The sequence below is a fragment of the Homo sapiens genome, chromosome 10 (genome assembly GCF_000001405.40).
Source record: "Homo sapiens chromosome 10, GRCh38.p14 Primary Assembly".
NCBI classification, from domain to species: Eukaryota; Metazoa; Chordata; class Mammalia; order Primates; family Hominidae; genus Homo; species Homo sapiens.
This window is the reverse complement of record NC_000010.11, coordinates 110,695,411-110,707,610: the sequence shown is the minus strand read 5'-3', so window position 1 is coordinate 110,707,610 and position 12,200 is coordinate 110,695,411. Positions and strand designations below refer to the sequence as shown.

The 12,200-nt window shown below is 44.6% G+C and overlaps 1 protein-coding gene across 2 annotated transcripts in view, besides 2 other annotated features; it reads right to left on the bottom strand.

Moving 5' to 3' along the window:
- RBM20 (RNA binding motif protein 20) overlaps positions 1-12,200 on the bottom strand; it is a 196,224-nt gene that overhangs the window by 131,858 nt on the left and 52,166 nt on the right. The gene's annotated exons all lie outside the window — the stretch shown is intronic.
- Positions 5,387-5,993: an enhancer, noted in NCBI's record as "H3K27ac hESC enhancer chr10:112461376-112461982 (GRCh37/hg19 assembly coordinates)". NCBI's record gives its function as "activates a minimal SCP1, AML or CMV promoter by ChIP-STARR-seq in naive H9 embryonic stem cells {active_cell/tissue: H9 hESC(naive)}" and the evidence as "EXISTENCE:reporter gene assay evidence [ECO:0000049][PMID:30033119]".
- Positions 8,805-9,304: an enhancer, noted in NCBI's record as "H3K4me1 hESC enhancer chr10:112458065-112458564 (GRCh37/hg19 assembly coordinates)". NCBI's record gives its function as "activates a minimal SCP1, AML or CMV promoter by ChIP-STARR-seq in naive H9 embryonic stem cells {active_cell/tissue: H9 hESC(naive)}" and the evidence as "EXISTENCE:reporter gene assay evidence [ECO:0000049][PMID:30033119]".

Here is a 12,200-nt window from a genome sequence, read left to right as displayed (position 1 = left end):
CATGTTATTGCAAATGGCAGGATTTCACTCCTTTTTATAGCTGAGTAATATTTTTAAGGCTTCAGATCTATGCTCTTTGCCTTTTAAAACCATTCATTCTGTGTTTTAAAAATGTTTAACTTTCTCTAGGAAATAAATCAGCAGAATGGCAGGCAATAAAACCAGAAAAAACATTTTTTTAAAGTGTATTTTAGCTTGATCTTGATTAACTTATATGCTTTTTGATGTATTTTCCAGTTGAAATGAATTGGCTATGCAGCCAATATTGTAAAAATACAATATACACTCTGGAATATCAGGTTAGCAAAAATAAAATCTTAAGCTCCATTTTATATCCAACAATCTACATCTGAGCTTATTTACAACATGAGATGTTTTTCTAGGATAGATTTTCTAATACACTTCTAATTGTTTAAATTAAAAATATGAGCTTCCTTCCCAATATTCCCTATAGCCATCACTAAATAGATTTTCCTTTAAAAAGGGAAAAGAAAGCCTTATCACTTGGCAGATTAAACTGTACAAAATTAAGAATTCTCTTTAGCCCCTTTAAAATGCAACAGGTTCATTTTACAGCACACAATTGCTATGTAAAGTAGCCATCCTAGAGCCTCCCTGGGTCATTTAAGCGTTTTTCCACGTTCAACATGAGCTATGTCATGCATAAGAATAGCTTGATCTTTTATACACGATGAGAATACCGAGAATTCCTTCTTACTGCTATAAAAGGCTCACAAAAGCCACAAAAAGGCCTGGACCACATTCTTTGGCAATTATCAGTATGAGGAGGAGGCAAGACCAAGACAGAGAAAGAAAAGGAAAGTGATTTGTAAATGGCCTGACTACAACCAACCCTCTTTGATTAGGAGAAACAGCTGCAGAGCCTCTTTACCCTCAAGCCAAGGAGAATCGCCATTGGTTTTGAGGTTCACCCTCCAGACAGACAGCCCACCACTCCGTCCTGAAATTTCCCACCCTTTCATCCCAAGAGAGACCAGAATAGCTCTCCCATCCAAGCTTGCATGGACACAGCAAAGAAACTCTAGAATTTATTCAAGCTTCCTTTGGAGTTCAATGTAGTCACTCAATGAATGCTGCTTAAACAGAACCGTTGCATTTCCTGGCGGATATCAGAAAGAGAATGAAAAGGGAGGCAGCTCTGTGACTGGTCACGCTGAGCTCCAACCTCAAGGTCCAGGGCTGTCCCAGAGACACACAGATATTGCCCATTCCAGGTGGAGAAGTGAAGACAACTCACATTTCTTAAGAACCTATTGTATGCCAATGCCACTCCAGACACTTTGTGTGGATCATATTATTAACCCACAGAAAGCTTTACCATTTTGCAGATAAGGAAGATGACTATAGCTATGAAGGCAACTTGCTCAAAGTCACACAGCTACACAACCAAACTGCTACCCCAGTGCAGGCAATAAGGTAGGATGTTGTCTCTAGAGATTTTTACAACAGGAATAAAACTACTAAAAGTCATCTGCATCAGCAGTTCTTTTATTTTTTCTTTTTTTTTTTGAGATGGAGTCTCACTCTGTCACCCAGGCTGGAGTACAGTGGTGTGATTCTGGCTCACTGCAAACGCCACCTCCCAGGTCAAGCGATTCTCCCACCTCAGCCTCCCAAGTAGCTGGGATTACAAGACTCTGCCATCACACCCGGCCAATTTTTGTATTTTTAGTAGAGATGGGGGTTTCACCATGTTGGCCAGGATGGTCTCAAACTCCTGACCTCAAGTGATCCACCCACCTTGGCCTCCCAAAGTGCTGGGATTAGAAGCATGAGCCACTGCATCCGGCCAAGCGTCAGTAGTCTAAACAATGTCAATGAGAAGCTACTCCTTCACAAAAACAATTGTTTTGTTGGTTTAGGTTCCAAACAATTATTGCAACCACTGTTGAGATTAATATATATGTAAGTTTCAAATTAGCATATGTGTATTACTTACGCTTTCATAAGCATGGTATTTACATGAAATTTATTTGGAGAACTCTTGGATTTGTAGTTGCTCATGCAAATCCAGACTCACCTACACACACAGATTTAGAAAATAAATTCATACTAGTTTAGAATCAATTCATTTTCAATTCCATTTCCAACACAGTTTGTATCTCCAATCCCTGCAGTATTATCGATTCACTGGTTAAAACAGATTTGGTATAAACAGTGATAGCACAGTGATTATAAAAATGAAAAATCAGATGCTAATTCAGATGTGAAATATTTTATTGGATCTGAGTAGTATATTTAAAACTTATATCCATTCTTCTTCAATCATTCATTGTTTACAAACTGAAGAAAAAAATCAAGAAAATTATTGCTGACTGCATGGTTTTTATTGAAAATAATGTTGTCATATAGAGGACAGTAATGTGAAAAATTATCTGTTCCAGGCGTCAAACACATTATGTGAACTTTCACTGCACTCCATCAAAATGACCCAATCCACAGAAAGAACCAGCATCGTGCTGGAGGCCGGGAAAACCACTCTGTGACTTGGCCAACAATCGAACTTTTTGTTCACAATGGTGAGTCACTAAAACCAGCCATTTTCCAGCAAGGCCATGCTTCTGTTTTCTTCTTGTAAGAAAAGTATACCCTTTCAAAGGGATTTATCACTGCAATAATCCTTACCTTTAACCAAAAACATATAATATTCCATGAAAAATCAATGGCTTTTCTTCAAATTCAAATATTTCCAATTTTTTGTCAAATACAAAAGACCATAAAATTTCCAAACTCAGCCATCGGTGGCACCAACATTGACAAGGCTTCTCCAAACCTCCACTCTGTCCTCATCTCCCACCTCCCACATGGCTGTCCTCTGGGCTGTTTCAGGCCTTCTATAATTTGCCTGCACACAGTCTAATGGCTCTTCTTTCCAGCCACTCAATTCCCAGAGCTAAGATGACACATGTCTTAAAGACAAGAACTGTCACCAAACCATCTGAATCCCCTCCTCTCCCTTTCCTCTTACACAGTCCTGGATACATTGTAAAAGCCAGTGGTCTGTTTTAATTTATTTAACAAATACTAATACAATGTTAGCTGCAAGTCAAAAAGTGGAACATCCATTTACTGTTGGGAGGTACAAATTTAAATAACAAAGTGTTTTTTATAATTATTAAAGTAGTAAACCTAAACATGTAATTACCATATAACCCAGCAATTGCACTCTTAGGCATTTTAGGCATTTTTCCCAGAGAAATGAAAACTTATGTTCACACAAAAACCTGTACACAAATGTTCATAGCAGCTTTCTTTGTAATAGCCAAAAACTGGAAAGATGCCAGATATCCTTCAATAGGTGAATGGTTAAACAAACTGTGGTACATATATACCCTGGAATACTATTCAGCAAGGAAAAATAATGCACCATTGATACACTCAAAAACTTAGATAAATCTCCAGGAAATTATGCTGAGTGGAAAGGCTTGTCCCAAAAGGTTACACACTGTATTATTGCTTTTATTTTATTTTATTTTTTGAGACAGAGTCTTGCTTTGTTGCCCAGGCTGGAGTGTGGTAGTGTGATCTCAGCTTACTGCAACCTCCACTTTGCTGGTTCAAGTGATTCTCCTGCCTCAGCCTCCTGAGGAGCTGGGACTACAGGTGCACACCACCACAACTGGCTAATTTTTGTATTTTTAGGAGAGATGGTGTTTCGCCATATTGGCCAGGCTGGTCTCGAACTCCTGGCCTCAAGTGATCCACCCACCGTGGCCTCCCAAAATGCTGGGATTATAGGCATGAGCCACCATGCCTGGCCTGATTTCATTTATATAACATTTTAAAAACGACAAAATTTTAGAAATGGAGAACAGATTAGTCCCTGCCAGGTGTTTCGTCAAAGGGCGGGAGGTGGATGTGGTTGTAAAAGGCAAAGCAAGAGATCCTTGTGATGGAACTATTTAGTATCTCGACTGTAGTGCTGGAAACATGAACCTACATGTGTGATAAAATTGTATAGGGCTAAATATATACACACATACAAAGGAGTAGAAGTAAAATGGGAAATCTTTTATAAGATAAATAAGAGAGGTAGATTGTAACAATGTTAATATCCTGGCTGTGATACTCTTCTACAGTTTTGCAAACTGTTATCACTGGGGGAACTGGATAAATGGTACATGGGAAATCTCATCATTATTTCCTTTTTTAGTTTTATTTTTAACTGATACATTCTAAATTCTTTCTTTCTTTCTTTCTTTTTTTTTTTTGAGACAGAGTTTCACCGTTGTTGTCCAGGCTAGAGTGCAATGGCGCAATCTGAGCTCACTGCAACCTCCGCCTCCTGGGGTCAAGCGATTGTCCTGCCTCAGCCTCCCGAGTAGCTGGAATTACAGGTGCCTGCCACCATGCCTGGCTCATTTTTTGTATTTTTAGTAGAGATGGTGTTTCACCATGTTGACCAGGCTGGTCTCGAACTCCTGACCTCAGGTGATCCACCCGCCTTGGCCTCCCAAAGTGAGGCTTTATTGCAGGCATGAGCCACCATACCTGGCCTAAATTATTTCCTACAAGTGCATCTGAATCTACAATTATCTCAACAAAAATTTCAGTTAGAAAGGTATTAAGCCAACCAAAAAAAAAAACAAAAAAAAAAACAAGAAAAAAAACCCACCCCAAACCCCAAACTCTTAATATTTATTAAGCAAACACTTACATGGTGCTCACTAATTGCCAGATACCATTTTAAGTACTTAAAGGTTAACTCATTGACTCCTTCTAACAATCATATGTGGTATGTACCATAATTTCCATTTTACAGATGAAGAAACTGAGGTGCAGAGTGGTTAAATAACTGTCCAAAGGGCACACAGTGAGTAAGTGGGTGGAAGATGATTCCAACATAAGCAGTCTGGATCCAGAGCTCTCCCTTCTGAGATCTCTGCATTACGCCCATGAGGGCTAGTGGGTGGACAGGCACAGAAGACCCTGAATTCCGACAGCAGTTCTTTCAGAAGGTTCCCAACACCCAGGGGAAAGCATGACACATCCTTCCGATCACAAAGCCAATCATAAACTTCACATGCTTTCAACTTCATTTATGTATTTTTTAGAGACAGGGCCTCATTGTGTCGCCCCGGGCTGCAGTGCACGGTCGCCATCCGAGCCCATTACAGCCCCAAACTCCTGGGCTCAAGTAATCTTCCTGCCTCAGCCTCCAGACTAGCTGGGACTACAGGTGTGTACCATCTCACTCAGCAAATTTGTTTGTTTGTTTGTTTGTTTGGTAGAGATGGGGGGGTCTCACTTTTGAACTCCTGCCCTCAGGTGATCCTCCCACCTAGGCCTAGCAAAATGTTGGGATTACAGGTGTGAGCCACCACACTCAGCTGATACGCTCTCGACTTTAAAGGAAGTAAACAGAATGATTGAATTCTAATGTAAAATCTTCCACTTGGTGAGAGTGAACACGTTTAACACTTGAGAGCAACTTCCCACTTTTGCCCAGCAGAGGCTGGAAAACAGAAAGAAGAGGTGGGCACATTGGGGAGCACATTTCAGAGGGAAGGTGAGGAGGCCTAAAAAGCACAGTGCCTCTGGGGGCAGATAAAAGGGGATAGCTGAGGCTGGCTGAAACAAGACCACGCAATCACGTCCTGCTTCACACAATTGTCCCAGCTCCCAAAGTCCTGCTGCTCTATCCCCAGAGGAATGCACCTTGTCTGGCACTCTCCCTCTCTGATAATCCCCCGTTAGCTCTCTGCCTTATCAGCATCAAGCCCACAGGCTCTTACAGATCCTGGCCAGTGCGGACCCTGGGGATTGAAACTCAGAACCTATGCAGCATTCCAGGTTGCAGGCCTATAGCAAGGCAATCAGGCTTGGGAGATTTTCAGATTATCAAGTGGGAAAGGCAGGAATGTCACGGCCTCTGTGGGTGGACACAGGGACATTCATCAAAATGACAGCTACCATGAAATCCCTGACTCCCTTTCCCACTGGATGGTGTGGAGCTGGGGTGTGTGCATGGACATGCATATGTACAAACCGAAATTATTTTAGCAGAAAGTCATTTCCCAAGATAAGGCAAAGGAGGGCTGGACCTGAACTTTTCAAAAGGCAAGCTCCCAACCAGCAAGGCACTGTAACTTAACACTAACAGTGAAATCTCCGGCTCATACACGGGGTAAATGATGGGAACAGCATGTTCCCCGTGGTCCAGGCTGATGCGAGTACCATTCAGAAAAAAAGGAGAATCAGTACCAGGGAGTAGGACCGGACTTTATGGGTTTCTAAAGACAGGAACTCTTGGAGATTTTCAGTTAAGCTTTGGCTGACCAGGTGAGAAGTAAGCCCCACTGTGAACTCCAGGCTGGAAGAAACTAGGAGGAAAAAAAAAAATTCTTCACAATCTGTAATTTTGAGAAAGAACCACTGGGAACGGAGTTGAGAAGGGTCACCAGGAAAATGGAACCCCCGGCTCACACAGGTATCCCAAAATGACTCAGCTCTGTGCATCAGTTTTCACATTTAAATGACATTTCCTTTGCAATGAGTCTGAAAATTTCCCCTCCCAGATAAGGCAGAAGCAAAGAGAGGTTTTTGTTTGTTTGTTTGCTTTGTTTTGTTTTTTTGAGACGGAGTCTTTCTCAGCCACCCAGGCTGGAATGCAGTGGCATGAACTCGGCTCACTGCAACCTCCATCTCCCGGGTTCAAGCGATTCTCCCGTCTCAGCCTCCCAAGTAGCTGGGATTACAGGCACCCGCTATCATGGCTGGCTAATTTTTTTATTTTAGTAGAGACAGGCTTTCACCATGTTGGCCAGACTGGTCTTGAACTCCTGACCTCAGGTGATCCGCCCGCCTCAGCCTCCCAAAGTGCTAGGATGACAGGGGTGAGCCACCGTGCCTGGCCCAAAGAGGGTTTTTATTTGTTGCCCATCCCATTTCCTGCTTTGGTTGCTGGCATGTAAGTAGGTAATCCTGGGGCCTCTGTCACTGTCCTGTGAAGAGGAGGCCATAGGCATAAGAACAAAAACATCATGGAACGTGGCAAGGTAGGGGATGGAAAGACTTTGGGTCCCTAAAGACCCTGTTGAGCCACCAAACCAAACCTAGGCCTCTGCCTCCAGGTTTCATGTTGAGATGAGAAATGTCCCTCTGGTTTAAGCCACTGTTGGGGTTCCTGTTGGCAGCCAAGGATTTCTTAATTGGTACAGCTCCTCTGCAAAGATTTTGCTTAACAGTCATAAAAGGTTGCCAATTCCACACTCCCTAACTGGCCCAAGGCTGAAACTTGGATGAAACCTCTAGGTCTCTGTATCCTATTATCTAAATCTGAAGCGCCCAAGTGAAAAAATGTAGCACCTATAAACCCAGCCAACCTTGTCTGGTGTTCATGCCAAAGGCTCAACAGATAAACACAAAGACACAGAAATGGGAGGGACTAGGGGGAGGCATGGGAGAGGTGAAAAACAGGAAGAGGGGAATACAGTAGTCCCCCCTTACCCACAGTTTCGCTTTCCAAACTTTCAGTTACCCACAGTCAAGCGTGGTCCAAAAATATTACATGGAAAATTCCAGAAATAAATAATTCGTAAGTTTTAAATTACACACTGATCTGAGTAGTCTGATGAAGTCTTGGGCCATCCTGCTCTGTCCACCCGGGACGTGAATCACCTTTTTGTCCAGCATATACATGCTGTCTATACTTCCCACCCGCAAGTCATTTAGTAGCCACCTCAATGATAGGATAAACGGTGATGATACGGCAGTGCGTGTGATCAAGACATCCTTATTTCGCTTCATAATGGCCCCAACGCACAAGAGTACTGTGCCTAATTTATAAATTAAACCTTATCATAGGCATGTTATGTATAGGAAAAAAACATAGTATATATATATAGGGTTCAGTACTATTTGCAGTTTCAGGTATCCACTGAGGGTCTTGGAACATATCCTCCATGGATAAGGGGGGACCACCGTATAAAGGAAAAAAGAGCGACAGGAAACAAGTACCCTTTAAGAATGCAGGTTTGGTTTTTTTTGTTTTTTGTTGTTGTTTTGTTTTTTTAAACGGCTGTGTGCAGTGGCTCACACCTGTAATCTCAGCACTTTTTGTGGCTGAGGTAGGCAGATCATCTGAGGTCAGGAGTTCAAAACTAGCTTGACCAACATGGTGAAACCCCATCTCTACTAAAAATACAAAAATTAGCCAGGCGTGGTGGTCAGCGCCTGTAATCTCAGCTATTTGGGAGACTCAGGCATGAGAATCACTTGAACCCAGGAGGAGGCAAACATTGCAGTGAGCCGAGATTGCACCACTGCACTCCAGCCTGGGAGACAGAGCAAGAGTAAGACTCCGTCTCAGGAAAAAAAAAAAAAAAAAGAATGCACTTTTTTTTTTTAAAGATGCCCTCATACTTTTCAAAATCAGCATGCCTTGAGTAAGAAGCCACTGCCTGCCGGATCTCCATCATCACGTGGGTCTGGAAAGGTTAAGTCCATCAGTGGAGCCCCCGTCTAACATGGCGCAGACGTGTGAACGACCAATGGCTTCTTGCATTGCCTGTGCATGACTTGGCTGGCCAAAGCATATTTTACATTAGCTTAGGTCCTGACATTCTATCATGTTCCCTGTCAGGAAGCCAAGTAGTTCTTGGAAGCTTGCACACCAAGTGACATATAACAGAACCCTAGCAAATGAGACAGCCCTTTGCCAAGTGCCCTTAAGTTAAAGGCTCTTCTTGCCTCTCCCACCTCTGTGGCAGTGGTCTGTCTGGCTGGGCTGAGAGCAGGCATATACCACTGAAAGGTCACCATCCTCTGCCAGCATCTGAAGTACTTTTCAAGGAGGCAGTGTCACATGGTGCGGGGCTATTTGCAATTGAGTTGCCTTTAGCAATCTGTATCACTGAGGAACTAAAAGTGGGACAGAGAGGGGTACCCTAGGCTGTCTATGGAGCATGGCATAAAGCTGAAGGAATGGCCATCAAAATGACACCTTCTGTATCCAGTTCCACGCTGTCTTCAATGAACCTGCCACCCCAAGGGACACTCTGTCAGGCTGTAAGAGGAGAAGCTCCAATGCCACCTCACATGACACTGTCCAGAACGTCTGTGGCCCTGTGGCTGGAGTTTCTGCACCCTCCTCACAGGGTGTCAACACTCTTGCAAGGAAGATGGGCCCTCAAGGACAGGCAGGGTTCCTGCCAGGCTCCTGCCAGCGAGGGCAACTCCTGGTGCTCTCCTTCTGGCCTCCCCAGGGGCCGCCATCACAGCCTCTTTTTCCGGTGCTCCCCTGCCCTTCCCAGCCCACCTCCTGTGTGTCCTGGGTATCTGCCATAAGCTCAGAACTGTGCAGGGCATGCTGGAGCAATGCTGGGAAGTATAGGGGAAGTCTTTGCCCATAGGGCCTGTGATAACTAATATAAGAAACAAGGGCCGGGCGCGGTGGCTCACGCCTGTAATCCCAGCACTTTGGGAGGCCGAGGTGGGCGGATCATGAGGTCAGGAGATCGAGACTATCCTGGCTAACACAGTAAAACCCCGTCTCTACTAAAAATACAAAAAAATTAGCCGGGCGTGTTGGTGGGCGCCTGTAGTCCCAGCTACTCGGGAGGCTGAGGCAGGAGAATGGCGTGAAGCCGGGAGGTGGAGCTTGCAGTGAGCCGACATCGCACCACTGCACTCCAGCCCGGGCGACAGAGTGAGACTCAGTCTCAAAAAAAAAAAAGAAAAAAAAAAAGAAACAAGGCCCCTGTTTCTTCAATGTGAGGGAATAAATAATTGAGAATTGATGGGATTGTGGTGTGGGGAATACGCTGATAAAATCAGGGGAGGGAGGCATCACAAGAGAAAGGGCTGGTCAGTGAAGACTTCTTGGAAGAGGTGAGACTTGAGCAAAAGCTTGAGGGAAGGATGAGGACCAGACAGGGAGGAAATGAAGGGATAGTGACAGTGGATGTGTGATGATCATGAAACAAGGTGGGCTCAGGGGCCAGGAAACAACCAGCATGGGTGGCATCCAAGGAGGTGGTGAGAAGTGAACTCATGCAGGTAGGACTGTGCCACATTTCTGGCTGCCTGCATGGCAAACAACAAACAATACCTCAATCCCTCTGCCTGGGCACACCTCTGTATCCCAGCTCTTGGCATGGGCCTGGCTCATAGTTAGTGCTCAATACACACTGAAGAGTGAACCAAGGAAATTACTAAGCACCCTCAGTCATGCAGGAGGCCCCAAACTAAGAAACAAAACCATATTTAAAGGCAGGGATTGAAAACTCATGGGCCAAGCCCAAGTGGGCCAGGCAAGTAACAAAAGTGCAGCTGGCTAGGAGTGAGCAGTGGGGAACAGCCAGGGATACTGACGCATGGACACCCATCTTCAGGGGGACGGTTCCTACCTGACTACAGCCCAGCACTGCTGCTGAGGTTCACGAGCCCAGTGTTGTTGGGCTTTTGTTGTGTGAAATCCCCCAACTTTTAAATCTGAGCAATGAGCTTAAAAAAAAAATTCTGCATAGACCAAACAAAACACATAACTCAAAGTCATATCAAGCCTGAGCCATCTTTGGCTCTACAGGATAAGTTTTTTTCCTTAAGAAGTGGATAGTCTAAAAAAGTCCCCAACAAAACTAATCTATGATGACAGAGGTAAGAATGGGGGTTGCCTTTGGTGGCAGGGAGCTGTGGATGGGCTCCCTTTTGGGAGGCTGGAAATCTCCAGTCTTTTGGTCTGTGTGGTGGTAACAGGGATGAGCACACATTTGAGAATTCATCAAGCTGTAAAAGTAAGAGTTGCAGACTTTACTATATCTAGTAACATAAAAAGCAAAAAAGGTCCCCCAGAGTTGGACGAAACCCTCTCCAGAGTGTGCTTTAAGCTGTGCTGCTCCTTCAGCCTCAAATTCCCTTTGGCTCTCCCTCTCTTTACCCTGCTGCCACTCACTTGCCCTATCAGCCATGGCCCAGGCAGTACTTCCTCCAGGAAGCCCTCCTACTCCACCCCAGCCCACGGTTGCGCTTGGCCCATCTGGGTGCTCCTAGATCCAGCCCAGTGAGTGCCACTTCATCCCCACCTTCATCACTTCCAAGGTCTGCCACCCTTGGAGTTTCTGAGGTCCTGGGGATGAGGACTGTGCACTGCTCACTGTGGTGCAGGCATTGCACACAGTGGGCATTCAGCAGAGGTCTGACGTGACAGCTCAATCCCCTCCAGCAATCAGCAAAGGGGAGGATGCCTCCCTCCCAACCCCATCTGTATTTCCCAAGAAGTGACTGAGCACAGAATCTGGAAACATGAGATCTGGAGAGAAAAAAAAGCCAGGGGACTAGCTGAGTCCTGGGTAAGAAGTCCTGGGGGAGTAGGGTTGGGGACATGTACATCTAAAGATTTAAAATGCGATTCTCTTGCAACCAGCTATGGTGACTTCCTACTGAGGAGAGGAAATAAGGATGCGTACAATTCTTAAATCACTTCCCTGGCCAAAGAAACTCTAGCCCAGTGTGGCTCACGCTTCCGCAGGCATCAGAATCACCAGAGGCTTTGTTAAAAACAGATTCCTGGGCCCACTAAGGAGACTGATTGGCTCTGGAACAGGGCCTGAGAATTTGCATTCCTAAGTAGATGCTGATGCTGCTGGTCCAGGGACCTCCACTGTGAGTGACACTGGCTCAGGCAAGACCACTATTAGGAAGAACAAAATATCACAATGCATCAGTGTTCTTTCAGTGACTCGTTTAACAAATTTTTATTACATTTGTACTGTGTGCAAAGCCATGTAAGTGATGCAGACATAATTAGAACTAGTAGTTGCATCCTTACCCTTGGTCACCAGAAAATGGATTGCTACCTCTCAGTGCCTGTCACAAGATTTGCTGTTAAAGCAGAAAATGACACCCACTTTCAGCCACTTCCCAATGCTCAAATGATCTCAGGTTCAAACTCATGACTCTGAGAACAAAGTGTGTGAAGTCCACTCCCATCAGCGAACTCATCTGTTTCTCCAAACATTTCTGATGAAATGAATCATTTCTCTTGGGCCTCTCTTCAATACATCACCTCCTTTGTTTAACCAGAAGAGGAGTTGGTTGTAGATTTCGTACTCTGGGCTGGGCAAGGGGCGGACACATTTCCCCTGGAGTCCAAGACAGCAAAGGGTCTCCAGAAGAGTCTGAGGGTGGAGGCAGCTTTCCAGCAGACAGACAAACACACTGCTCTGAAATAGCACCCG